This window comes from Homo sapiens, chromosome 19 (genome assembly GCF_000001405.40).
Source record: "Homo sapiens chromosome 19, GRCh38.p14 Primary Assembly".
Classification (NCBI taxonomy): Eukaryota; Metazoa; Chordata; class Mammalia; order Primates; family Hominidae; genus Homo; species Homo sapiens.
The window spans coordinates 34669195-34696385 of NC_000019.10; the positions used below are offsets into that span (position 1 = coordinate 34669195).

Sequence of the window (27191 nt, forward strand, 5' to 3'; positions counted from 1 at the left end):
AGTCAGTGAGACCAAGAACCCACCAATTCCAGACACAGTAGCATCTCTTCACTGTGTAACATGTGTTCCTAATGCACTTTCTATATCTCACTTCCTTTAGGTTCTGTGTTTTATTCCAGGTAATGTTCCTTGAATCTAAATTACAATTTACTAATTTTCACGAAAGCTGCACCTAATCTGCTACCCATTCAGACAAACAAACTCATTTATCAAATGTTTGTTGAACCGGCACTCGGTGGCAGATTCTGTGCTAGGGCGTGCCAAGTGCAGACACATGTTTGCCAAGACACACCGTTATGCCTCAGGGCCTCCTGGGTGCACATGCACACATGGACCTGCAGGCTGGCACCATAGTGCTCAGCCTGCTCCCAATCCCACGGTGCTCCAGGGAGGACACAGGATGTCACAGCAACACCCAACCCATCCCACTGCATGCTGAGCTTAGTTCCTGATACACTGTCACCCCAAAGGCATGGCCCAGGGCCGTGGGTCTCTCTGCAGACCTGCCCTGCCCCCACTTACACACACACACACACGAAGAGGTGTGTCTCATTTCCACCTGTGGGATTCTAATTTATGGCAGTGACTGAGTGACCACACAGAGAGGCCAATGCGATGGAAAACATTATTATTTACATTTCCCGGGGCACACCATGCCACACAGGGCCACATGGAGAGCACCAGTGCTGGTCAGGAGGCAGGAGCAAGGGGAACCCATAGGCCACAGCCTTTATTGGGGTTCCCATGGGAAAAGCCAGGCAGGGCAGAGTAAACAGCTTATGATTAGCTAGTTTGAATAATCCCGGCAGGCTTTGGCCTATAGTGTTGGTCTCTGGTTACCTGGTACCTGGTCATGGGGTGCTTCAGTGCAGGGGAGATATTGGCGTGGGGTGTGAGAGTTGGATAAAGAGGTAATCGGGGCTATAGATTCAGTGCCAGTTGGTTGTATATGAGACAGGTGCTCCAGGTCGAGCGTTTTGCCATCTCTAAGAAAAGACTAATCCTGGGAGGACAGTCTCCAGAGCCAGCAAACTTTAAAAGATGTCATCATAAAATACAGAAAATAAAAAGCATAATTACACCAAGTCGCAGAGTAAGTGGATGTTTACCTTTTCACAAACTGACTAACTGTGTTCCAAAGTGGTTATACTACTACATTCTTACCACAGTGTTATGAGGATTTCAGGTACTCCATATCCTCACCAACACTTGGTATGGTCAGTCTTTAATTTTCACTATTCCCGTTTGGTGTGCAGTGGTATTTCTCTGCGATTTTACTTTGTATCTCCCTAATAACTAATGTTTACAATTTTTATGTGTACTACTGCCATCCCTCTATCTTCTTTGGTTAGGTGTCTATTCAAATCTTTTGCCCATTTAAACTTTTTTCTTTATTATTGAGTTTTGAGAGTTCTTAATAAATAATGAATACAAGTCCTTCTTCAGATATGTGGTTTGCCAGTATAGTCTTCTAGCCTATGGCTCTTTTCTTCCTTCATCTTAAAAGAGCATGTCGCATAGCAGAAATGTTTACTGTTGACAAAGTTGAATGTGTTATTTTTTTCTTTGATTGAACATGTTTTTGGTGTATATTTCAGAAGTATTTGCCAAGATTTTAAAAATTCTCTCATGTTACTTAATGAAGGTTTCATATATTCAGGTTTATAATCCATGCTGAGTTAGTTCTTGAATATTGTATACCGTGTGAGGTTTGGGATCAGAACTTTGTGGCTGGTTTGTTTGTTTTGAGATGGAGTCTTTCTCTGTCACCCAGGCTGGAGTGCAGTGGTGCAATCTTGGCTCACTTCAACCTCCGCCTCCCGGGTTCAAGCAGTTCTCTGCCTCAGCCTCCCAAGTAGCTGGGATTACAGGCACCACCCCTGGCTAAGTTTTGTATTTTTAGTAGAGATGGGGTTTTAACATTTTGGCCAGGCTGGTCTTGAACTCCTGACCTCATGATACACCCACCTTGGCCTCCCAAAGTGCTGGGATTAAGGGCTGAGCTACTGCAGCTGGCCTGGTTTTTGTTTTAATATGGATGTCCAGTTGTTCCAACAACACTTGTTGAAAACACGATCTTCAGTGAATTGCCTTTGCACCTTTCTAAAACATCATTTGATCTTCTAAGTGTTGGTCTATTTCTGGACTTTCTTAATCTATATTTTTGCTAACATTTTAAAGTCTTAATTAACTTTATAATATGTCTTTAAATCAGGCAATGTAATCGTTTAACTTTATGCATCTTTTTCTTTTTTTTTTGCTATTCTAAGTGCTTTGTATTTTCATATCAATTTTAGAATTCACTTGTTATTTTCTAATAAAAGCATCGTGGGATTTTGATTGGATTGCATTGAATATATGTTTATCAATTTGAGAAGAATTAGCACATTAACAATATTGAGTGTTCTAATCCATAAACATTGTGTATCTCTCCTTTTATTTAGATCTTTAATTTTCCTCAGCAATCTTTTGTAGTTTTCAATGTACATATCTTGCACATCTTATGTGTCTCAAGTATATGTTGTATGCTCTTGTAAAAAGTGCTTTTAAATTTCAGTTTCAAATTGATCATTGTATACAGAAGTATAATTTTTTTAAAAAATTATTATTTACCCTGTAAATTTTATAAATTCATTTATTCCAGATTTTTTTCACAGATTCTATGGGATTTTCTCCATTAATATTTATGTTGTCTAACTTATTTGTTCAATTTTATGTGTTTATTTTCAAACTGGCAACTGTGAAATGTATTGGAAGATTATTCATAAAATTCCTTATTACTGTTTTAGAATCTGTAAAAGCTGGTTGTGGTGGTGCACTCCCATATTCCAAACTACCTTGGAGGCTGAAGCGAGTGAACTGCTTGAGCCCAGGAGTTCAAGACTTCAGTGAGCCATGATGGGGCCAATGCACTCCAGGTGGGGTGTAAAAATAAATAATTAAATGAATAAATGAATAAATAAATAAATAAACTATGTAGTATCTAGTGATGTCATCTCATCTGTAACTTATCGGTAATTTGTTTTTTCTCACATTTTTTTTTTTTGCTAGATCCACAGAGTTATATCCCTTTTATTGATCTCAAAAAATCTGTATTGGTTTTACTCGTTTTTCTCTATTGCTATTCTGTTTTCCACATCATTAATTTCTCTCTGATCTTTACTATTTCCTTCTTGTTTTGAGTTTCAATTGTCTTTTTTCAAGTTTTTAAGGTTGAATCTGTCATTGATTTGAGATAGTTCTTTCTTGATACAGGCATTTAATCTACAAATTTAGCAGCATCTACAATTTATTTTGTATGTTGTGCTGTCGTGTAATAAGATAGTGGCCTAGTGTAGCTCTAGTCTTATCTGTGGAGATTCCTGGGTATCCATCTTTATCCCTTGGTCAAGATAAATTAGTGGGATTTATAATGAGCTCATTAAAATCTAAAATTCCTCATAGTCCCAAGGGCCGATGTGTCTACCAATGGCTTTTGCTGTGGTCTGAATATTTGTATCCCCCCAAAATTCCTATGTTGAAACCTAATCATCAATATGGGACTCATTTGAACCTAAACTTCCACCAAAACACAAACCTGAAACTTTGTCTCCCTTCATACACGACACCTTCTTCCATAACCTCACATGGCAAAAGGAGCAAACAAGCTTGGGCCTCTTTTATAAGGACATCAATCCATTCATAAGAACTCCAGCCTCATAACTTAACATTTCCTCAAAGGCCTCACCTCTTAATATTGTCACACTGGGGATTCGGTTTCAGCATATGAATTCTGTGGCGGGGGCGGGGGACAGACATTCACATCATAGCACACCCTGAATCTTAAACAGCTTCTGCATCAGAGTAAACTGGCTTTTCTTCTCCAAAGTTCATATTCTAAAATGTGCCCTTGACCAGATAAATCCCAACAGCAAAAATTACTGATTGTAAACACTGCATTATTTTAAATAGGAAAGGGACAGAAGGCAGCTAAGAGCTAGTGGAAGGGAGTGGGTTGAGTATTGCATGTAATGTGTTTTAGTTTCTCCTTATTGCTCTCTCTCTCTGCTTCATTTTCTTTCTCAAGTGTCTGGCATATTTGTTTAAATCAGACTTGCTTATGCCTATGATTCTCTCTACCTCACACCCCTGATTTCTGTTCCTCAGTCTCTATTCCAGTGCCTCTAACCTTTCTGCTAACAATGCAAGTCAGGGTGTCACTGGAAAAGGGGTCTCGATCCAGACCCCAAGAGGGTTCTTGGATCTTGTTCAGGAAGGAATTTAAGATGTGTCGCAGAGTGCAGTGAAAGATGCAAGTTTATTAGAAGCTACACCATTAGTGAGCAGGAGGCCCTCAGAAAACAAGAGGAGGAATGCACTGGCTTTAAGTTTTTCTTATATAGGGGTCTTATCTATGAAAAAACTAAGCTAAGCTGGGTCTATGTGTGGGTGAGCAGGCAGAATAAAAAAAATTATTACAGTATTCATTTAAACTAACCTGGACATTCCAGTGTGTAAGTACATCAAAACATAGCTATTATCTTCAAAGCATATATTGTTACGGGTATTGGGACATCTGGACTCTGCACTGTTGTAGGAGTGTCCCTGTAGGTATCTTTAGGCTGTTTCCTCAACTATAAACACCCCATGACTATGGGCCATGACCGACAAGGAATGTGCTTTGCTAGTCTCAAAATGGAACTATACTTAAAATGGCATCCTCTGGCTCTCTTATACTCCTGCTTCCCTAACGATGGGGCATTCACAAGTTAGGGGTTTAACTTCACAGGAATGCTTTTTATGAGATGGCCAGACATAGCTATTGAAACAAAAGGACTAGCCCTCCATTTAAAGTTCTTCTCACCTATGCCCTGAGTCACATCTAGTCCTTTAATGTTGGCCCTCTCTCCACTCATGAACTTAACTCATATTCCAAATATCTGAGGACTCATAATGGGAAACCACCATAATTCTTCCAGTGAGATCATGAGGAAAAGCAGAAACAATGAAAAATCCCTATGTAAGCTTTTCTGGATGGACTGAGCAGGGACTTTATGTCTTAAGTGTGGTTTAAAGTGGTTCCAAAGTGGCAGGGATCCTGGTCTTGTCTGAAAGGAAATTATATAATCTCTAGAAGAGAAAGGCACTTTCATCTAAGGATATGGGAAAGCTACATGAAATCTCTTTTCAAGGACAAAGATAACCAACAAAAAAGGAAGCAAAGCAAACTGATTGAAGAATTTGGAAATAAACATCCAAACGGGCCCACAAAATCTTCAGTTATTGTTATTATCAGATACATATTATGAAGCAACTATACCTACCATGTTAAAAAAGTTTGGAAAATTGAAATTAAAATGTCCTGGAGAGATAATTATGAATGGGCAATAGATCGGAATAAATTATCCAGAATGCAACACAGAGATTGAAGGATGAAAATCACAGAGAATTTAAGACACCTGGAGGATAGAGGGGTAACACCTGCCTCATAACGAATTGGGGTTCTCAAAGCAGAGAAACAATGGTGAAGAGGCAATATATGGGAGAGGAAGAGTTTGCTGATTACCAGAGATGACACATCACAGATTCAAGTTGTTCAGCAAATCCCAAGCAGGAAAGAATTTAAGAATTTCATAACCAGAAACATTATGCCAAACTCCAGAAAACACATTCAGTTACTATTTCAGTTGAAAGCCCAGGATTCTAAGTGGGAAACGATCTTAATAACCTAGTCACTGCACTATCTCACTATCTCCTTAAACCTCATTTTTTCCTATGTCTCTTGCATTTTAATATTAAAAAGGTCATCATTCCAAAAGAACTTGACCAAAAGACCTGCAATTCTCAGAGAAGGGAATACTAAGACCAATAGACATTCAAAAAGATTCTCAATCTCATTAACAATTAAAAAATGCAACTTTAAGCCACAGTGAGTTACTATTTCACACCTAGTAGATTATTAAACTTTTAAAGTTTCACAAAGAGAGTGTTGGCAGTAAGAGTTGGCAAGCAAAATAACCATAAACTCTGGTAGGAGTGAAAATTGGTACAACTTTGGAAAACAATTCATGATTGTATAGTAAAATCATAGATGGAAACATGCTTTGCACAATCCAGTCTTTCCTTATTACATACTCTAAGCCTTGAGAGGAAGCCAGCTGATGCCAGTGTTTTTTAAAACTGTGGCTGCTATAGGAATTCACAACCACACCCACAGGATACACCAAGGTAGAACTGTCAGAGGTGTTTAAACCAGAGCGACTCCATCTTGAATAGGGCCTGGGTAAAATGAGGCTGAGACCTACTTCCCAGACACTTAAGGCATTCTAAGTCACAGGATAACATTGGAAGTCGGCACAAGCTACAGGTCAGGTCATAAAGGCCTTGCTGGTTAAACAAATTGCAGTAAAGAAGCCAGCCAAAACCCACCAAAATCAAGATGGCGAGGAGACTGACCTTTGGTGTCCTCACTGCTGCTTGTTATGTGTCCGGAATTGGTTCCTTCTGGTGGGTTCCTGGTCTGGCTGGCTTCAGGAGTGAAGCTGCAGACCCTCGCGGTGTGTGTTACAGCTCATAAAGGCGGTGCGTCTGGAGTCGTGCTGGAGTTGTTTGTTCCTCCCGGTGGGTTCATGATTTCGCTGGCTTCAGGAGTGAAGCTGCAGACCTTCACAGTGAGTGTTACAGCTCCTAAAGACGGCGTGTCTGGAGTTGTTCGTTCCTCCCAGTGGGTTTGTGGTCTCGCTGGCTTCAAGAGTGAAGCTGCAGACCTTCAGGGTGAGTGTTGCAGCTCATAAAGGTAGTGCAGACCCAAAGAGCAAAAGAACAAACATCCCACACCTGGGAAGTAGACCCCAGCGCGGTTGCCGCTGGTTGTTCGGGTGGCCCGTTTTTATTCCCTTATTTGGCCCCGCCCACATCCTGCTGATTTGTCCATTTTACAGAGCGCTGATTGGTCTATTTTACAGAGTGCTGTTTGGTCCGTTTTTACAGAGTGCTGACTGGTGCATTTACAAACCTTTAGCTAGACACAGAGCACTGATTGGTGTATTTACAATCCTTCAGCTATACAGAAAAGTTCTCCAAGGCCCCACCTGATCCAGAAGCCCAGCTGGCTTCACCTCTCGGTTATATGCTAATTATATGCATTAGCACGCTAAGAGAAACGCTCATCAGTGCCATGGCAATTTACAAATGCCATGGTAAGGTTCAGAAGTTACCCTGTATGGTTCAAAAAGCTGGGAAGCCCTCAGCTCCGAGAAATTGAAATTGCCCACCTCTTTCCTGGAAAACTCATGAATAATCCACCCTTGTTTAGCACATCATCAAGCAATAAATACAAGTATCCCTAGTCCAGCAGCCCAAGCTGCTGCTCTAACAATGGAGTACCCATTGTTTCTTTACTTTCTTAATACACTTGCTTTGGCTTTGCACTGTGCTCTCCCATGGATTTTTTCTTGCGTGAGCTCTAAGAACTCTCTCTTGGGGTCGGATCCGGACCCCTTTCTGGTAACAGAAGCACTGCTTCACGAAGATCATGCAGGTCAGTACTTAATAAGTACAAAAAAGTCTATAGCGACACTATTTATAATTTTAAAAATGATTGAAGTCAATTAACATTTAAGTGTTAAAAAGAAAGTAAACAACCCAAATATACACAAACAGTAGACTGCTCTGGCTTGCATACAGAGAGGTCCATTGCCCTTTTGGGTGGGCCTAAGAAGCACTTCTGGGGAGAGGGGGCGTCAGGCTGTGATGGCTGCGGGAGGAGTGACTCCTCCCAGGATGAGGGTCTCCATCCTCCCAGTGCTCACTCAAGTTCAGTATTTCCAAGTCCTTCCAGGGGCGTAACGCACGTCAGAACGGCCATTAGTGTCACAGATACGTGTCCCCTTGCATTTCCAGGAAATGCCCTTGGTTGGCGAACTACAGTCGTGACAGTCGGGCCACAGGGCGTTTTGTGAGTTATCGTCTTGGGCAAATGAGTGCCAAAAAAAAAAAAAAAAAAAGACCTGAAGGTGAACAGCATAGCGGCAGGGTTTGGGATGAGAGGAGCCCCTTTGCTAGCAACGGCGAGCACTTGCGCGGTACCAGCAAGGGCTGCCCATGTCTCGGAGGGAAACGTTTGTGTGAGCGCAGGAATGACCCGGAAGACCTTGGCACGGCTGCAGTTTTCTGGGAAATGTAATTTCTTGGTCCGGGCGCCATGGCCCTTATAAGTAGAGGGTGTCCCTTGGTTTCGAGTTGTATCGTTCACCAGAGGACGACTGTGTGCCCCAGGACAATTTGCGCATGGTCCTAGCTGGCCGGCTCTAGGTCGACGGCCCCAGGCGGTTAAGCTACTTACAAAGCCGTGACCGGTTTGCCCGCGGCGCACCAGGTCCGCGCAGCCGCAGAGACCCTTGGGAAGTGTGGTCTTCGGGTGCCGGCGGTTCGCGGCTTCCGGGACATTTGTACCGCAGGGGGAGGATTCTGGGAAATGTGGTTCGCCGTGGGCGGTGCACTGGGTCAGTCCCGCGATAGCTTCAGGCCTGGCGGCGGCTTCCAAGCTAAGGAACGGTTTGGGGCAGTGTCGTTCCCGGAGGTCGGCCGCCGTTACCCGCTCACCAGCTACGCGGCGCGTCAGGTCCGCGGAGGCGCGGGCTCGGGGCGCCTGCGGGACGGTGAGGCCCTGCTGAGGACTCCGGCAAGTGTGGGTCGCGGCGACGGCGGGGCTAAGGCCCTGGGTCCGCGCGCGGTTTGACCACGGCCGGGGCCTTGGGCATTTCCTGGCCTTCCTGTTGAGCCGTGTAAACGCGGGGTGATGACGGCGCCGACCTCTTGGCACTGTTGTGAGAGCGAAGTGGGCGCGAGAGCAGACGCCAGCTACAGTTTTTTTTGGGTTATGTCGTCATGAAGCCGGCGCTTTCAGTTGTGCAACCTTGAACAAATGGGTTCAGTATCTCGGAATTTCAGTTTTGTCTTCATTTTAAAAAATAAATCTGGTTTAGAACTCGACCTCAAGCGATCCGCCCGCCTCCGCCTTCCGAAGTGCTGGGATTAAAGGCGTAAGCCACCGCACCAGCCTAACGAACATGGCGAAACGCCGTCTCTACTAAAAATACAAAAAAAAATTAGCTGGGCGTGGTGGCACGTGTCTATAATCCCAGCTATTCGAGAGGTTGAGGTAGGAGAATCGCTTCAACCCGGGAGGCAGAGGTTGCAGTGAGTCGAGGTCGCTCCATTGCACTCCAGCCTGGAGACAGAACGAGACTCCGTCTCAAAAAAAAAAAAAAAAAAATCTGGAATAATATGAATGCACACCTTGCAAAGTGGTGAAGACTGAACGAGCTGATAAAGTTGTTACCGTTGTTTTATGAGTCTTTTGTATACAGAATAATTGATTTTCCCCGCAGGTGGCACCTGGTAAATAGCCCTTGCGGAGAAACACCCTGTTCCTTCCCAGGGAGAGATTGACGCTCCGGCGAGTGATTACCAGTGTGCTTTTCCATTAAGGTGTGTGACAGGTGCCGCAAGATAAGCCCGATTTTTCATGACTGCTTTTTCCTGCCTTTCTGTGCCCTCAGGACACTGCCCATCTCTAAGATAAGAACCTGGAAAGGGGACTCTGTTGGCCATTGGAAATTGCAGAATAATGTCTCAGGTAAGTCGGTGTGTCCCCAAATCTTCCTGAAACACTTTATTAGGCCTCTGTGTGTTTGCTTTGCTTCTCCTGCCTGTTCCCACCTAATCAAGTCCATTTAAGGGACTAGATCTATGGTTCCTTTCACTATAGGAAGAATGGAGCCCACAGGAGAGCTCCAAGGTATTGTCCTCATCACCCAGTGTTCCTCTTTTCTACAGTTTTCTGCTAGAAGACTTTCTAGATTGCCAACATTTTAAAACTGTAATTCACAATGCAACTTTGGAATGTAAGGTTATTCGGTTTATGGTTGTCAAAACTGTACCATGTGGTCTCAAGTGAAGAGATGTTTGGAGTCATCCTTGATTCTTCCTTTTGACTTATAACTCATATTCAGGTCCTCTAGTTTGGATCTAAACGATACACCGTATACAGCATCTGACCATTAGTTAGCCCATCACCACCACCACCACTACCACCCCAGTCCGAGCCACCTGGATTATTGCGGTAGCCTCCTAGCTGGATTCCCAGCATCTGCCCTTAACCCTCATCAGTCTGTTCTCAGTACAGCTGTGACCATGGTCCTATTGTTATATAAATTCCTGTCATTCCGCAACCTAAAATTTTTCAGTGGTTCTAACTGAGTCACTTCTGCAATGACCTATTTGTACAATTAGGCCATTACCTCCCTGATCCCACCTTCCTTCTCTGCCTCCTCATTCCTGTGCGCTCCAGCCTCTGTCACCAGTTGCTGTGCCATCCACGTGGAATATTCTTCCCCCACATACGCACAAGCTTGCATCCTTATCTCCTTCTGTGTTTGTTCCGTGGTTACTTTCTCAGAACAGCTTCCCTGAAAGCCTATTTGCAATTGCAGTCACCTTCCCTAGCGCTTCCACTCCTCCATCACTGCTTTGTTGTTTTCCACAGTGTGTGTCACTCACTAGCTGATGTACTGTATGTTCAGTATATGCACGTGCTCATTGTCTGTTCCTGGTGGGAGGAATGCTTTTTCTTCTTTGTTGACTGTTATAGCGTCAGTACCCAGAGTGTTACCTGGCACCAAATGGATGCTTAGTAAGTAATTGTGGAGTGAATAAGATGAGTAATGAAGAACTGGTGGGGCAGAATCATGGCATGGAAGGTGAAGCTTGCACAGGAGGGGATGTAAGTAGCAGATGTACATCTTGGGTGAAGTCTGTTTTCATGGAATAATTAAGATAATTAGAATTGAAAAACTGGTGTGGTAGTGCATGCCTGTTGTCCCAGTTACTCGGGAGGCTGATGAGGTAGGAAGATTTCTTGAGCCCTCTGGTGTAAGCCTGTAGTGAGCTATGATTATGTCACTGCACTCCAGCTTGGTGACAGAGCAAGAACCTGCCTCTTGAAAGAAAAAACAAAGTAAAGGCTAAAGTGAACTAATGCCAAAACCATTCATTGGTTCATCTTCTAAACACTTATGAAGTACCTGTTAGGAAGAGTTGTACATGGATTTTGGTGTACACTGACACACAGGACTTCATGATCTAGTGCAGTATTGTCTAAGAGAACTTTCTGCAGTGGTGGAAGTGCTGTGCATGTGTACTGATCAGTACGGTAGCCAACAGCCCCATCTGACTATTGAGTACTTGAACTGTGGCTTAAGCAATGGAGAAAATAAATTTTAAATTTTATTTAATTATTTTATTTTTACATTTTAATTAATTTAAATGTTGTAGCCAAGTTGGCTAGTGGCTCCTGTATTGAAGATTGTGGCACTGGTAGAAAAGTAAGAAAGCATGGGAAATTTAAATAAGTGCTAGGATAGATATCCTATGTTCTTTTGGGAACTGAGATGAGTGAACATCTCAAGCTGCCCAGGCAACTGAAGGGGAAGAAAGAAGCATCCCTGGCTCTAAGTTGTAATGACTGGTTTGTCAAAGATATGAGAAATGTTATTTTTATTTGGGATATAGGCAATTAACACAGTGGCAACTCCAATTAACAGGTGAATTTAGAAGAAATTTTGTGTAGCAAATTGAACTGTCAAATCTTACTTGAGGATAAGTTATTGTTTATTTGGAAAATGTGTGTTGGATTGTATCTGCTTGCCTATATAAAAAGATGAGATTTCTTCCTGTCCTTTTCATCTCAATAGTGGATCGCTTGTGAAGTGCATCAAGGTCTGATTTAGCTTATTCAGTAATAAAACTGCTTTCTTTTTTTTTCTACATTTGTGGAGAGGATTTTCTGCCATTGGAAGGCGATTCGAATTTTAATTATTTTCTCCAAACCTGAGAAAAGTAAATTCTGCCTTTAAAACCAAAGATCCATGTCACTGGTGAACATGCATGCAAAATATCCAAATAAAGTAATACAATACTGAATGAACTCTCAGAGCTAAAAAATTACCACAGTAGAGCAGTCTGTTTTACAAATCACAGACAGTAATAACTCTGTATTAAATGGCTGTACTTTTTGCACATATTATAATTTGACTAGCCAATAAGCTATTATTGAATATTTAAACTTCTAAAGTTTTACTATTTTAAATAATACTGTGAAATGAGTACTATTGAGAAGAATTTCTAAGCACATCTGTGAGCATTTCCTTAGAATATTTTCTTTGAAATCTACTCTTATTTTTTTCCCCTTCCAGGTCCTATTTAAGGACTGTCTATGGCAGGAGTCCTCAACCTTTTTGACACCAGGGATCAGTTTCGTGGAAGACAATTTTTCCACGGAAGTGGGAGGTGGTGGAGGTGATGGTTTGGGGATGAAACCGTTCTACCTCAGATCATCAGGCATTAGATTGACATAAGGAGTGTGCAACTTCGATCCCTTGCATGTGCAGTTCACAGTAGGGATTGCGCTCCTGTAAGAATCTATGCTATAGCTGATCTGACAGCAGGTGGAGCTCGGGTGATAATGCTCTTTCCTGCCACTCACCTCCTGCTGTGTTGCCCGGTTCCTAAAGGCCACAGACCAGTACCAGTCCGTGGCCCAGGTGTTAGACCCCTGATCTATGACATGAAACCATCCTTCAGTCTTTTCACCCAGGAGTCTCATATTTTAATTATTAAATGTTTGTCAGCACGAAGTTTAAGTATACACCACAAATATATTTTTCTTTTTTGTTTATGAATCAGTTATGTGTATGTTTTAGTCCATTTGTGCTGCTGTAACAAATACCCCAGACTGAGTAGTTTATAAATAATGAAAATTGACTTCTCATGGTTTTGGTGCCTGGGAAGTCCAAGATCAAGAGGCAGGCATCTGGCAAGGGCCTTCTTGCTGTGTCCTTTTGTGGTGGATGGGCAAAGAGACGAGAGAGAGGCAAAGGGGGGCCAGAACTCATTTTTTTAAATAAGGAACCCTCTTCCCTGATGATGACATTAATCCATTCATGAGGGCAGAGTCCTCAAGGCCCAATAGTCTCCTAAAGATCTAACCTCTCAATACTATTAGAATGGTGATTAAGTTCAATACATGCTTTTTTGGGGAACATAATCAAACCATATGTCTATCAGTCTTTAATATTAAGATGTCTTTTTTTTCTGAACCCATTTTTTGTGAGATTTAGTGAATCTTTCTGAGTATCATATTTGAGAGACAATTGCTTTAGCCTTATTTTTAATTACTTAGCTAGCATGTAAGCTATAAAAGATATAACTAAATACTTGACTCTGTGCTGTCAAATGTCAAATGTTGATTTTTAAAAATTCATATAATTCTAAACTTTTAACAAAATTACTGAAGCAAAGCTCTCATATTTGTCTCTCATTCTTATTGTATAAAAATTCTAAGCACATAACTGTCCCCTTTATTGTATAATTCCAACTACATAACTGTCCTATTATTACTTACCTGACATCACATTCCCAGTCATTGTCACAGCTCCTGAATCTTGTTCCATTTCTTCCACAAGCAGGCTAATTTTACCCCTTCTTCAGTGACAGAAGAGGCCTGGGCTATGGCTGAGCCTAAATATATTTGCTATTTCAGGTGACATTTAGTGATGTGGCTATAGACTTCTCTCATGAAGAGTGGGCATGCCTAGATTCTGCTCAGAGGGACTTATACAAGGATGTGATGGTCCAGAATTATGAGAACCTGGTCTCTGTAGGTAAGGATATCACCCCTTCCACTCCAATAGGGGACACCTTTCTTTTGCCACCCTGAATTGCTGGAGATTCTCCTAAGTAAATGGCTGAATTTCTGTACCATGCTCCCGAGGAAATGTGCAGCTCTGTTGTGCCCTGCCTAAAGCTTATCTTTCCATTTCAGTGAACACCCTTCATCCATTCCTGTGGTCCCTCTTGTGATGGCCTCTCATAATAGAGGACCACAGCTTAAACAATTCTATATTTTTCCTGTAAGCAGGTCTTTCCGTAACTAAGCCATATGTGATCATGTTATTGGAGGATGGAAAAGAGCCCTGGATGATGGAGAAAAAACTGTCAAAAGGTATGATTCCACATGAGTCATGGTGAACGAGACAAAGGAAGATTTTGTTAAAGATGTTTATAGTGAGTGTGGAAGCATTTTAGGGATACTGTCTTCAAAGATCTCAGATAGAAATGAAAAATTGAGGGATATTTAGCTTAGATTTTCAAAACAATTGTTCCTCCCTCTCAAATTATTATCTGTATCACTCATGTCACCTAATCAAGGTTAGAGGTTTTTGCCATCATAATAATTCAAATTGTTACTATATTCATGACAAAGTAAGACAATTTATTCTTTCTTAATTCTACTTAAGAAAAATATACTAATAGTTTTAAGCTAAGAAAAGCTGTCAGTTAGATGGAAAATCACTTTTCTAAAGCTGAGCTTTGTAGATGAAATATGAACATATTAGAGGAAGTAAGGGACATATAAATGTTTCTAGGAATAATATTTTCTAATGTTCAAGAAAAATATGATTCACACAGTTTCTTCATAACCTCAGAAAGCCTATATCTTTGTCAGCTATAAAGAGCATTTACTTTGTTTTTACTGCAGTTGTTTAATATAGTAGTATCAATTCTGTATTTTAAGCTTGATAATCCAGCAGCAAATTGAGATTAATGGAAGGTTGGAAAAAAAGGCTATGAAACAAAATGCAACCTTTCCCACATGAATATAGGCACAAAATGATGATTTGTAATCCTGAATGCCTTCCACATCTTATTTCTGATACTTTCCTTTTTTCCATACTATTTTATCCATTTCGTACAGCTTACCCATTTCCTTTATCACACTCTGTTCCTGCTTCTGTGAACTTTGGATTCTCTGCTCTATTTGAGCATTGTTCAGAAGTCACTGAAATATTTGAGTTGTCAGAACTATGTGTTTTCTGGGTGCTTCATTTCTTATCCAATTCTCCTAATTCCACTGTAGAAGCTTTTTTCAAGAAGTAAAAAAAAAAAAAAAAAAAAAAAAAAAAAAAAAAAAAAAAAAAAAAAAAGGCAGTGCTTTGCTTTCTTGATATATTTCAGATTGGGAATCAAGATGGGAAAACAAGGAATTATCAACAAAGAAGGATATTTATGATGAAGATTCACCCCAACCAGTAACAATGGAAAAAGTTGTAAAACAAAGTTATGAATTTTCAAATTCTAATAAGAATTTGGAATATACAGAATGCGACACATTTAGAAGCACCTTTCATTCAAAGTCTACTCTTTCTGAACCACAAAACAATTCTGCTGAAGGGAATTCACACAAATATGATATATTAAAGAAGAATTTATCAAAAAAGTCAGTTATAAAAAGTGAGAGAATAAATGGTGGAAAGAAACTTTTAAATTCTAATAAAAGTGGGGCAGCCTTCAACCAGAGCAAATCTCTTACCCTTCCCCAGACTTGTAATAGAGAGAAAATCTATACATGCAGTGAATGTGGGAAAGCCTTTGGCAAACAGTCAATCCTCAGTCGCCACTGGAGAATTCATACAGGAGAGAAGCCCTATGAATGTCGTGAATGTGGGAAGACTTTTAGCCATGGTTCATCCCTTACACGACATCAGATAAGCCATAGTGGAGAGAAACCTTACAAATGCATTGAATGTGGGAAGGCCTTTAGCCATGGCTCATCACTTACTAACCATCAGAGCACTCACACGGGAGAGAAACCGTATGAATGTATGAACTGTGGAAAGTCTTTTAGTCGTGTGTCCCTTCTCATTCAGCATCTAAGAATTCATACGCAAGAAAAACGCTATGAGTGTCGTATATGTGGAAAGGCCTTCATTCATAGTTCGTCTCTCATTCACCATCAGAAAAGCCATACTGGAGAGAAGCCTTATGAATGTAGAGAATGTGGGAAAGCTTTCTGCTGTAGCTCACACCTTACTCAACATCAAAGAATTCACAGTATGAAGAAAAAATATGAATGCAACAAATGTCTCAAGGTCTTTAGTAGCTTCTCATTTCTTGTTCAACATCAGAGTATTCATACTGAAGAAAAACCGTTTGAAGTTTAGAAATGCAGGAAATCCTTCAACCAGCTTGAATCACTGAATATGCATTTGAGAAATCACATTAGATTGAAACCCTACGAATGCAGTATATGTGGGAAAGCCTTTAGTCATAGGTCGTCCCTGCTTCAACATCACAGTATTCATACTGGAGAGAAACCTTACGAATGTATTAAATGTGGGAAGACCTTCAGCTGTAGTTCAAACCTTACTGTACATCAGAGAATTCATACTGGAGAAAAGCCATATAAATGTAGTGAGTGTGGGAAAGCTTTTAGCAAAGGCTCGAATCTTACTGCCCATCAAAGAGTACATAATGGAGAGAAACCCAATAGTGTGGTAAGTGTGGAAAAGCCTTTAGATCATATGAATCCCTATACATGTGAGAAATCTTACAGAAGAGAAGCAGTGTTTATCACGGTAAACTTCATTCATAGATCCTCCCTTATTTAACATCAGAAAAATGTATACTGGGGAAAAGTTGTATGAAGGTGGTGAACATGGGAGACTTTTAGCAATGATGCAGATTTTTTTATTAGAGTTTATACTGTAGAGAAATCATATGAAGTCAATAAATGTGGGAAAGCCTTTGTCAGTATTAATCCCTTAATTGACCTAAGTATACTCACACTAGGAAAAATCTGTGTACATGTAGCAAATGTGGGAAAGACTATAGGCAATAGGAATCTCCTGCAAACTCCTACAGGAGAAAAGTTGTATGAATGTGGAAACTTTAGAAATTGAAGGAATTTTTCAGTTCCAAGTGCATCCCTTATTCTATAGGAAATAAACTGGAGACAAATCTCATTTAAGAGATGCAGCAAAGTGTTCACTAAGAGTGTTTATCTTGCCAGACATAAGAAGATGAATGGTAGAGCAACCTGAAGGATTTAGAAATTACATATAAATCTTTGCAGTTATGCTATTTGTAAACAGGATTATATAGGAGAGCAAATAAACATAAGTATGCATTTCTTAGAGCAGTAGCTTGCAGTTTCAGTTGAGTTCTACTTAGAAATTCTTTTTAGCTAGTGGGCATGTGAAGATATTTAGTCACCCAGAGGAGCCAGTAAATGTTATAATGTTAAAAATTAAAGCTGCAAAAGAAATAAAATGGTGTTAATAAAAATTTGGCATCTAATAAAATCATTTTGTATATCATGAACTCTTTCTCTGTGACTGTTTGCGACAAAAAAAAATTTCACTAAGATTAGCCTTAGTATAGCCTTTAGCGGGAGACTAGCAAACTTCGAGAAGAATGGCCTGCTCTTTATACTAAGAATAGCAGTATTTTGGTGAGGATTATTGAGTCCATATCCAGTAGGCTTAATTAAATACATTTCAAGAACATTTACTGAGCATTACTCATGTGTATTACACAGGGATGGGATAAAGGAATCTAGTAGTTCTGAGCTCTAGTGCTGTGTCGAAATCACTGGAAGGACGTGTTAAAGCACAGATTGCTAAGCCTCAGTCCTAGAGTTTCTGTATGAGTTGATTTGAATTTGCATTTTTCACACGTTCTTAGGGGACACTAACACTGTTTGTCCAGAATATAATAATAATGTTATGGTGTCACTGACAACATATTGTTTCCTCAATCTTACCTATTAACCATTTCTTGAGCATCTTCTGTGGACTTAAGAAACACTCCATACTCCTTAAGAGCTTCGAGATGTGTGTGTGTGAAGAGCATTAAGCTTTGGAGTCTTGTTACCTGGGTTTAAATCCAAGTTACATGTATACTGGCTTTGTGACCTTGGACAAACTGTTTCACTGGGTCATGCTGCAGTTTCTCCATCTGTAAAATGGTAATAAACCTATTTCACAGCATTATTATGAAAGTTAAATGAGTTAATTGATGCACAATGTTTACAACAATGCCTGGCCTCTCAATAGCATTCAGTAAGTATTAGCTATAGCTATTGATTTCATCATCATCGTCTTCTCATGGTTGCTTCATTATTCTGGTCTCAGATGTCACATCTAATCACTTGCCACTCTTATCTGTTTACTGTTTCACATTTTTGGGGGAGAGCATTTACAAAACACCCCCGTTTCCTTCCAACAAATCCTTTAGTATCTGAGCCATTTTGAGGGAATGTTTCTTGCCCAAAATAACCTAAGGAGAAACAAAGAGACCAGATAGGAGATGAGATGAGAATTCAGCAGGTCTCTGAGAAGGAAGAAGGATGCCCTACAGAGTTGGAAAATGGGCCGAGTGAAGGAGGCATCAGGCTTCCACATGGAGGAAAGGGGAGGGTTTACCCACTGAGACCAGAAGACTACAGGTCTTTGGCATCATCTCTGAGTACAGAGTCCCATGGGCTGGGTGCCACTGCCCTCACTCTTCCTGAATGGAGGTTACAGCCTGTCATTGAAGGTCACCGATGCCTGGAAAGTCAGAGTTTTCTTGTTAGCCTTGGGCCAGTCAAATGTGATTAGAACTCAGTTGCTGGTAAACATCTAGAAAGAACCAATGAACATATCACTGAGCACTTCCTGGGAGCTTAATTCTTTGCTGCTGAGGGGGAGTCAGTTTTTAAACAAATTGCAATTGTGTTAGAGGAAAAAAGCTTTATATGCAGAAGTAATTAATGGAAGATACAAGACAATGACAAGGCCGTGTGGCCCGTATGGCCCGAGAGGTGCTGAGGGTAAGCACTCTGGCATCAAAGAAATAGGGAAAAACTATAATGATCATAATACAATACCGTTAATAGCAGCAGCCACTGCGCCTTGTGTTTGCTTTGTGTGCTGCATTCAGACAATTAAATGCTGTCAGCTCTGGACACAAATTGCTAGGTGTGAATTCAGCCTATTGGGACTGTCGCTTGCTTATTCTATACACTTGGGGAAGTCACTTCATTTCCCGATGTCTCCATCAAAACAAAAATATTTCTCATCAGGTGGTTGTGAGAATTAAAAGATATATAAAGCAAGCAACAAAGTGCCTCTGCATGGAAGTTTGTTGCCGTGTTTTTCCTGCTTTCAATAATCTTCCCACATACTGTAAGGTAAATGCCATAATCATCTTTGTGCTAGTGAGCTGAGTGAGTCTCTCTCAGAGTCACACATCTTAGGAATATAGGCTACATTTGAACATTTAGTAAAAGACCACACAATATTGCCCTTCTAGGACAGATCTCAGAAGACTGGGATTTCTCTTGGCAACCATAAGGCTCTCTTGCCTCACTGAACAAAAAACATTTCCTTTGGCCATGCCGCTCCTTCTGCCTAGAATGTGTCCCATACCCCATTTATTACCACGCTTACCTGCCAAGGGAGGCCTGCCTACCTTGCAAAGCTCACTAGGTGTGTCAAAGACGAACAAAGCTGGACATTAATGACAGTGGTAAGAACAGACTAATTGATAACTATTGCAATGGGGAAAGGAATTTGGCATGAAGTCAACTAAGCTTTGATTTGTACAAAGGTAAATGAGTATGTTAAAGGGAGGGTGAAGAAATAGGGGGTGGTGAGGAGCGGTTCAGTGGAGTCAGAAAAGTGAAAAATTAGGAAGGGAGGGGGCTGGTCTATGTGCAGTCTTATCTGGGTTTGCTACTGGCACTTTTGAGTTAGGCTCATATCCTCCCACAGAGGCTGGGAGACAGGGGCCTTATCTTCAGGTGCTGGCTGGAAGAAATTCTTTGGACAGCCTTGAGTTTTTTGGAAAGGCACTTTAGGAGTCATTAGAAAATGTTAGTGTTGTTCAAGTCTCAATAGGCCACAGTTGACAGGCATATTCAAGAAGGCTCAGAGGGGCCTGGATAGAGTTTGGTCAAAGAAAATCTTTGTCAGGTGTCACCGCAGGCTTCTCCAGCCCACTGAGGAGGAATGGTGGTGAAGACAAAAGAACATAGGCAAGGGATCAAAGTACAGGGTGTGAGTTTCTGCCAAGAGTTGCGTGACCCTGAGAAGGTAACTTAAGTTTTCCAAATCTCAGGTTCCTTTTCTGTAAAGCAGGAATAATAGAAACTAACTCTGAGAAAATTGGGATTAAATGAAGTGCTACATAATGGTGCTACATAACGAGTTACCCTCAGAGCTCAATAAATGTAGCTATTATTGTTATTTAGCCTCTTTGCTCCCACACCACCCTGGAAAACCCAACCAAGTCCTGATCTCTACTTTTGTACGTGTGCCACATTCCCTGCACAAAGATTCCAGAAGATGAGAAATACTTAACCTAGAACCAGCAAGGCCGAAAAAAAAAAAAAAAGACTCTCCTACTAGGTGACATTGGTGCAGAACAGGGAAGGATGCAAAGGAGGAGAGGAGAGGGAGAGGCACTGCAGAGATCTGGACTCAGTGTCCCAGGCAGAGGGAAAGACTGGGAAGTCGGAAAGAGCTTGGAATGATCAGGACAGCTTGGCAGGAGAGCAGTGAGCAAAGGAAGATGGAGTAGAGGATGCATTTCTAGGACTGTTTCTCTTTAGAAATAGCATCCAGAATGTCCCTGAATGGTGCTGGGCACTGGGAACACACATTAAACATTAGCCATCTCTGGTACTCTCACCTAGAATGAATGATGGTTAATATTTCCCCTTTAAGCCTTCCTTAGGAAAATGGAGGTGAAAGGTAGCAAGGTAGCTTGCACAAGGCCACAGCCCTGAGATAGGGCACAGCACGATCCAAACATGTCTCTGGATTCTGCAGGCGATGCCTCTCCTGAGGATCTGCACATGCTGCTGTACGTGAATGGTGGGGGGTACTAAGAAGTTGTAGTTCATACTTCCCCACCACATACCACTGATTTCTAGAAAGAGGAATTTTCTCTTGTAATACTTGATGTAACTCTAGGACTCTGGACAGACAGTGACCCTATCAGCAGGAAGAGAAGGCCTGAAGAATCCCAGGATTCCACGATCTTCCATGTCAGTGTGCCACAGCCATGTGGTTGAGAGTCCAAGTATGTGAGACTGGGGGATAGTTAATACAACTGTGCTAGGAGGGAAGCGACTATATCAGTACTTCAGACTCAGCTGAACTCTCTCCCAGGCCCTGCAAAGGTGTCTAGATGGGTCCTATCCTTCTTAGTGGCCTTCCTAGCTTGGTCCCAAAGAGCCTCCTGCATCCACTGGGTGGTGTGGGCAGACAAGTCATGTGACAAATGGAAGTTCACCCTTGCAGTACCAAAAGTCCAGCCCATGATAATGCAGGCTGCAGGAAACACTCCTGTCCCAGGCTGTCATTTGGACATATGAAGCACATCCTTCTGGGTAATGTAGCTCTTCACCTTATCTGAGGCAATAGCTAAGTAGCATCCAGAGGACCACTAGGAAGAAGCATCAAAAGACTTCCATGAGAGTGGTACTTCACATCAGTTCGTATGAACCGGGCTTTCTTGCATGGATAGTTGTTCAATTTGGTGTTTCTGTAGGGAGGAGGGGATGATCACTAGAGGATTCTTTTCAACTATTTTATCCTACTTCCTCCCAAAACATGTATTTTTTTCTAAACATGTTTTTGGGTCTTTTTAAAAATACGTCTGTCTTGTCAAGTGTTCCTTTACTCTCTTGAACATTTCATACAATTTTAATAACTTTTAATATACTTCTTTCCCAATTCTACCATGTGTGTCATTTCTGGGTCTGTTTATACTGGTTGATTGTTCTGATAATAGGTTATACTTTTCTGCTTCTTTGCCTGCCTGGTAATTATTTTTTCAATGCAAAATATTGTGAAATTTAATTTTTTAGGTGCTGGATAACTCTGCATTTCTACAAATATTCTTGAGTTTTGTTCTGTTACTCAGTTAAGTTATTTGGAAATAGTTTAATCCATTGGAAACTTTTTGCAAGTTTTGTTAGGTGGCACAAAGGCAGCCATATGCAAAGTGAATTTTATATAATACCTTTCTTGAGTTATCTACTTGTCTCCCCATGAATAACCAGGGTATTCCTCTCTGGCTTTAGGAATACAAAGTATTTCCAGCCCTGTGTAAATTCCAGACATTGCTTCCCCCTGCTCCTTTCAGGTGGTTGTTCCCTAGTCTTGGGCTATTTTCTCACATGCATAAACAGCAGTATTCAGTGAGGACTTAACAGGGACTTTCTGCAGAACCGTGAAGATCTCTCTGTGCAGCTCTCTCCTCTGTAGTCTCCTGTCCTGAAAATGTAGCCACCTTGGCCACCGTAGAGTCCTAACTCTGTCTCAGGAGCTCAGAGACTGCTGATTTTCCCTGGGATTCCCCCTTCCTGCTTTGCAGTCTGGAAATTCTCTGAAGGGAATCTGAGGCAATTACTTGGTTCCTTGTTTCCCTCTCCCAGAGATCACTCTTCTGTGCTGCCTGATATCCAATTTCTGAAAATTATCATTTTTGTTGAGTGTTCGATGTTCTAGGTGGGAGTGTAAATCTGGCCCATGCTACACCATTGTGGCCAGATACAGTAATCTTTTTGTCTTGTTTTGATGTCTTATGACATTCTATTTGACTACAAACATGGGGAGAGTGTTATTTCTTATAATAAATATCATGCCAGAGTAGGCAAAGAACGTAATGGAATTAAGGATTTCAGGAGTAACTGTGGATTTTGGCGGGGGGGGGGGGGCAATATATGCAAATATTTATTGATAATTTCTAGGTGGAGGATGTTTCTTTAATGACTAAATTTTTTCCCTTATCTAGCTTACATTTGGTAGTGGCAGAGAAATAACAAAAAAGATAGCCCAACAAATATGAGCATGTTAGCAGAGAAAGCAGGGAAAGGAGGGAGGCAATTGGAGGGCAGAAAGTGGGTAGAAGAGATACAGCCAGAGAAACTAATAATGTGGCATTGGAGTGGTGTCCTGAAGAAAGGTTCGGATTGAGTTTTCACGTTTGAAACATATGTTAGCATTCCAGGTTTTGTGCTAAGTGGTAGGTTCATGAATGACTACTACATTGTTAATAATCAATCATTCATTGAAGACTGAACTCAAAACTTCCCTAGGGGAAGAGAGTTTCAGAATATAAGATTTGTCACTTCCTAGCATCTTCACCATTCCTCTCCTCTCTTTTCATTTCCCACCATTTTTCATAGTTCTCCTTGCCATTCCTTGTAATATATATTTGTTCATTTGTTTGTTTTCCGGAGACAGGGTCTCAGTCTGTCACCCAGGCTGGAGTGCAGTGATGCAGTCATAACTCACTGCAGCCTGGAACTCCTGAGCTCAAGCGATCCTCCCATCTCAGTCTCTGGAGTCACTGGGACCACAGGCATGCACCACCACACCTGGCTAATTAAAAAAAAAAATGTAGACATGGAGTCTTGCTATGTTACCCAGGCTGGTCTTGAAGTCCTGGGCTCAAGCAGTGCTCCTGCCTTGATCTCTCAAAGTGCTGGGATTACAGGTGTGAGCCATCATGCCCAGCTCTTGTAGTTTTTTGATTTTTATACTCTACTTATCACTCCAGGACAGTCTTTATTACTCACTTCCTTTGTTGTTCTTTGTCACCTCCTGCCAAGCTCAGCTTCCCTGCCACTCTTCCTCTGTGTCCACCACCCCCTCGCTTTGCATCATTCCTCCCCTTCATTCTCTGTGTGGGCTGTGCCCCCCTTCCAGGCTCTATATTGGCATCGCCTCTAGGGAAGGGTTTGCCCAGTTTATGGTGCCAGCAGCAGAGTGTGTGAGCACTTGTTTCTCCACATTCTGACACATTGCTTGTCAGACATTTTGTCCTTGCCAGTCCAATAGAAGAGACAAAAAGCCATCCCAGGATAAATGTTTTAATGGTGCAGAGACTTATTGAATTAACCTCGATTCATGATGTCCTCCGATAAACTTCTTCATTGAAGGATTATTAGTAATGTAGTAGTCATTCATGAACCTACCACCTAGCACAAAACCTGGAATGCTAACATATGTTTCAAAGCCACTTTTTTTGGTTGTTTTCTTTGAACTTTTCTGCTAGGAACATTTGCTCCTTTTCCCACCAGTATGTTGGTCTTTTTCTTATCATTTGTAGGAGCTGTGGAGGGACTCCATACATACTAGGAAAATAAGCCAATTGTAATATGACTTGCAAATATCTTCACCATAATTTTCTCCTAACATTTTGAATTTTTTTGATGCAGTTGGCCATGCATAATATTTCATTTTTTATGCAGTCAAATTGATCAATTTGGGTTTTTTAATCTTTGCAATGGTCTTCTTTCTTCTGAGATTCTAAAAGATATTCTTCTTTATTTTTTTCCCAAGAGTTTCATGGGATTTTTTTTCTTACTCTTTCAATGTAGAAATATTTCAGAGATCTGAAGTTAATTTTGAAGTAGGCTGTGAGAAGTAGAGCCAACTGTTTAATTCCCTCAGATGTTTAATCAGTAGATTCAACACCACTTTATTTACAAAAAATCCAGATCGCCTTGATTAGCAAGTTACCTTTTTTCACAAAATTTTGATTATTTAGATGTATTTCTGTCTTTCCATTGAGAGTTCACTTATTGGTGCATGCTCACATGCATATGTGTGTTTTAAAGAATACTTCATAGGGCTTCTTGTCCCTAATACTCTATTTTAAAATTCTTTCTCAGCATTTTCACTTATTTTTCTAAGTATATTATGAATGTCATTTAAATGAACCATCCAATAGTAGCATTTTGAGTTTTGTTTCTTTCATTCATCTTAATCCACGTGAGACTCTTCTATGTTGTTGCATGTGTCAATAGTTTGTTCCTCTTGTGGCTTCATGGAATTCAACTGCATGAGTGTAACACACTTTGTGTATCCATCCACCAGTTGAACAACATTTGAGTTGTTTCCAGTTTCAATAAACTGAAATCTGAGTAAAACTGTTATAAATATTGCTGATCAGGGTTGTTGTTGTTGTTGTTGTTTTTTGAGATGGAGTCTCCCTCTGTCGCCCAGACTGGAGTGCAGTGGCGTGATCTCGGTTCACTGTAACCTCTGCCACCCGGGTTCAAGCGACTCTTGTGCCTCAGCCTCCTGAGTAGCTGAGACTACAGGTGGGTGCCACCACACCCAGCTAATTTTTGTATTTTTAGTAGAGACAGGGTTCCACCATATTGGACAGGCTGGTCTCGAACTCCTGACCTCGTGATCCACCCGCCTTGGCCTCCCAAAGTGGGATTACAGGTGTGAGCCAGTGCCCGACCGCTGATTAGGTTTTTTATGTGAACATAAATCTTCATTCTCTTGGGTGAATACTTAGAAGAGGGATTGTTGGGTCATGATAAATGGAAGATTAATTTTATAAGGATAAAGTACATCTTTTTCTTTAAAATAAATCTCGTTAGAAGAACTCAAACAACTCCACACTAAAAAAAACAAAGAGACAAATAATCCCATTAAAAATTGGGCTAAGGACATGAACAAACATTTCTCAAAATGTGACACACAAATGGCCAACAGGTGAATGAAGAAAATGCTGAACACCACTAATTATCAGGGAAATGCAAATCAGAACTGCAATGAGATATCATCTTACCCCAGCTAGAATGGCTGTTATTAAACAGACAACAAAAATAACAGATGCTAGTATGGATGTTTAGAAAAGATAACACTTATACACTGTTGCCTGGAATGTAAATTAGTGTGGTCACTAGGGAAAATAGTATGGTGATTTCTCAAAAACCTAAACAACTAAAAATGGAAGTACCACATGATCCAGCAATTCCCCTGCTGGACATTTATGCAAAGGAAAATTAATCAGTGTATCAAAGAGATACCTGCACTCACATATTTATTGCAGCACTATTCACAATAGCATAGATATGGAATCAACCTAAGCATTCATCAACAGATGAATGGATAAAGAAAATGTGGTGTATATACACAATGGAATAGTATATGGCCATAAAAAAGAATGAAATCTTATCATTCACAGCAACGTTGATGACATGGAGGTCATTATGCTGAGTGAAATAAGCCAGACACAGAAAGACATACTGCATATTCTCACTTCCATGTGGGAGCTAAAAAAGTTGATCATGGAGGCAGAGATTACAATGATAGATATCAGAGGCTGGGAAGGGGAGGGAATGAAGAGAGCTAGGTTAATACAGGTAGATAAAATATATAAGCTCATTCTTTGATGGCAGAATAGAATGACTATAGGTAACAACAATGTACTGTATATTTTAAAGTATCCAGAAAAAAGGATTTGAATTGTCTCAACACATGAAAATAACAAATACTCAAAATGATGGTGATGTAGTTTGGATGTGTGTCCCCTCCAAATCTCATGTTGAAATGTGATCCCCAGTGTTGGAAGTGGGGCCTAGTGAAGGTGTTGGAGTCATGGTGGTGGATCCTTCTTGAATGGCTTGGGACCATTCCCAGTGGTAACGCGCTCACAGGAGATCTGGTTGATTAAAAGAGATGGGGACCTCCCTGCTCTTGGTCCCACTCTCACATGTGACTTGCCTGTTATAGCTCCACCTTCTGCCATGAATATGAGCTTCCTGAGGCCTCATCAGAAGCTGAGCAAATGCTGGTGCCATGCTTGTACAGCCTGAAGAACTGTGAGCCAAATAAACCTCTTCTCTTTACAAATTACCCTGTGTCAGGTCTTTCTTTAAAGCAATGCAAAATGGGCAAATAGAGATAGAGGCCTGATGTGGTGGCTCACACCTGTAATACCAGCACTTTGGGAGGTCAAGGAAGGAGAATTGATTGAGGCCCAGAGTTCAAGACCAGCCTGGGCAACTGAGTGAGATCTTGTCTCTACAAGAAAACTGAAAAAATTAGCCAGGCACAGTGGCTCTCACCTGTGGTCCCAGCTACTCAGGAGGCTGAGGCAGGAGGATCACTTGAACCTAGGAACTCAAGGCTGCAGTGACCTAGTATTGTGTCACTGCACTCCAGTCTGGGTGACAAAGCAAGACCTCATCTCTTAAAATACATAGATAGATAGATAGATAGATAGATACCACATATACTGTTACTTGATCATTAACATTCTATGCATGTAACAATATTATGCATACCCCATTAATATCTACAATATTATGTATCAATTTTAAAAAAATCTTATTGGTATTTTCATTGTTATTACATTAAACTGGCTTCTATTTTTACCAGAAAACGCACCTTTATTCTATTGAAAATTCCCATTCAATATTTTCATTTATTTAAATTCTGTTTATATTTGTCCCTCATGAGGATTTTAGAGTTAAAAAAAAATAGTCATTAGTTGGAGGGATCTGGCAA

The 27191-nt window shown here is 40.9% G+C and overlaps 2 protein-coding genes and 2 pseudogenes across 53 annotated transcripts in view, besides 6 other annotated features; 1 reads left to right on the forward strand and 3 right to left on the reverse strand.

Annotated features, from left to right (window-relative positions):
• Positions 1-7965, reverse strand: part of ZNF807P (zinc finger protein 807, pseudogene) — a 135468-nt pseudogene extending 127503 nt beyond the window's left edge. For both annotated transcript variants that reach the window (NR_170975.1, NR_146880.2), the window contains exon 1: positions 6436-7965. The product of NR_170975.1 is annotated as a zinc finger protein 807, pseudogene, transcript variant 2 (transcript). The remainder of the gene's footprint in view (positions 1-6435) is intronic.
• SCGB1B2P (secretoglobin family 1B member 2, pseudogene) overlaps positions 1-7965 on the reverse strand; it is a 100431-nt pseudogene extending 92466 nt beyond the window's left edge. For all 14 annotated transcript variants that reach the window (NR_170957.1, NR_170958.1, NR_170959.1 and 11 more), the window contains exon 1: positions 6436-7965. The product of NR_170957.1 is annotated as a secretoglobin family 1B member 2, pseudogene, transcript variant 2 (transcript). The remainder of the gene's footprint in view (positions 1-6435) is intronic.
• The window catches only part of SCGB2B2 (secretoglobin family 2B member 2), a 91631-nt gene extending 83666 nt beyond the window's left edge, over positions 1-7965 (reverse strand). For all 4 annotated transcript variants that reach the window (NR_170948.1, NR_170946.1, NR_170947.1 and 1 more), the window contains exon 1: positions 6436-7965. The gene's annotated coding sequence lies outside the window, so the exon portion shown is untranslated. The remainder of the gene's footprint in view (positions 1-6435) is intronic.
• ZNF302 (zinc finger protein 302) lies at positions 6785-17202 on the forward strand. Of its 33 annotated transcripts, none has more exons than XM_047439093.1 (6): positions 6785-8356; positions 9543-9619; positions 10634-10765; positions 13583-13703; positions 13961-14044; positions 15058-17202. In XM_047439093.1, exons 2-6 carry the CDS (start codon positions 9611-9613, stop codon positions 16041-16043), a joined length of 1332 nt encoding a protein of 443 aa, XP_047295049.1. In that variant the 5' UTR covers positions 6785-8356; positions 9543-9610; the 3' UTR covers positions 16044-17202. The 33 variants fall into 33 exon arrangements, 32 of the variants coding, with proteins under 32 accessions (XP_047295049.1, XP_047295050.1, XP_047295052.1 ...); XM_017026978.2 differs by lacking the exon at positions 6785-8356 and adding an exon at positions 8484-8909 and having other exon boundaries at positions 13958-14044; XM_024451607.2 differs by lacking the exon at positions 6785-8356 and adding an exon at positions 8484-8909 and having other exon boundaries at positions 14798-17202.
• Positions 7456-8353: an enhancer, noted in NCBI's record as "NANOG-H3K27ac-H3K4me1 hESC enhancer chr19:35167555-35168452 (GRCh37/hg19 assembly coordinates)". NCBI's record gives its function as "activates a minimal SCP1, AML or CMV promoter by ChIP-STARR-seq in primed H9 embryonic stem cells {active_cell/tissue: H9 hESC(primed)}" and the evidence as "EXISTENCE:reporter gene assay evidence [ECO:0000049][PMID:30033119]".
• Positions 8013-8112: an enhancer, noted in NCBI's record as "active region_14448". NCBI's record gives its function as "activates an Ori minimal core promoter by ATAC-STARR-seq in GM12878 lymphoblastoid cells {active_cell/tissue: GM12878}" and the evidence as "EXISTENCE:reporter gene assay evidence [ECO:0000049][PMID:35858748]".
• Positions 8163-8222: an enhancer, noted in NCBI's record as "active region_14449". NCBI's record gives its function as "activates an Ori minimal core promoter by ATAC-STARR-seq in GM12878 lymphoblastoid cells {active_cell/tissue: GM12878}" and the evidence as "EXISTENCE:reporter gene assay evidence [ECO:0000049][PMID:35858748]".
• Positions 8354-9250: an enhancer, noted in NCBI's record as "NANOG-H3K27ac-H3K4me1 hESC enhancer chr19:35168453-35169349 (GRCh37/hg19 assembly coordinates)". NCBI's record gives its function as "activates a minimal SCP1, AML or CMV promoter by ChIP-STARR-seq in primed H9 embryonic stem cells {active_cell/tissue: H9 hESC(primed)}" and the evidence as "EXISTENCE:reporter gene assay evidence [ECO:0000049][PMID:30033119]".
• Positions 8673-8732: a silencer, noted in NCBI's record as "silent region_10506". NCBI's record gives its function as "represses an Ori minimal core promoter by ATAC-STARR-seq in GM12878 lymphoblastoid cells {active_cell/tissue: GM12878}" and the evidence as "EXISTENCE:reporter gene assay evidence [ECO:0000049][PMID:35858748]".
• Positions 10108-10609: an enhancer, noted in NCBI's record as "H3K27ac-H3K4me1 hESC enhancer chr19:35170207-35170708 (GRCh37/hg19 assembly coordinates)". NCBI's record gives its function as "activates a minimal SCP1, AML or CMV promoter by ChIP-STARR-seq in naive H9 embryonic stem cells {active_cell/tissue: H9 hESC(naive)}" and the evidence as "EXISTENCE:reporter gene assay evidence [ECO:0000049][PMID:30033119]".

What these genes read in the sequence shown, in the direction of transcription:
- ZNF302 (XM_017026978.2), top strand. An exon ending in AAGCTTGCACAGGAGGGGAT is followed by an intron (nt 10,766 to 13,582) that starts GTAAGTAGCAGA and finishes TTGCTATTTCAG; the next exon opens with GTGACATTTAGTGATGTGGC. An exon ending in GGAGAAAAAACTGTCAAAAG is followed by an intron (nt 14,045 to 15,057) that starts GTATGATTCCAC and finishes GATATATTTCAG; the next exon opens with ATTGGGAATCAAGATGGGAA.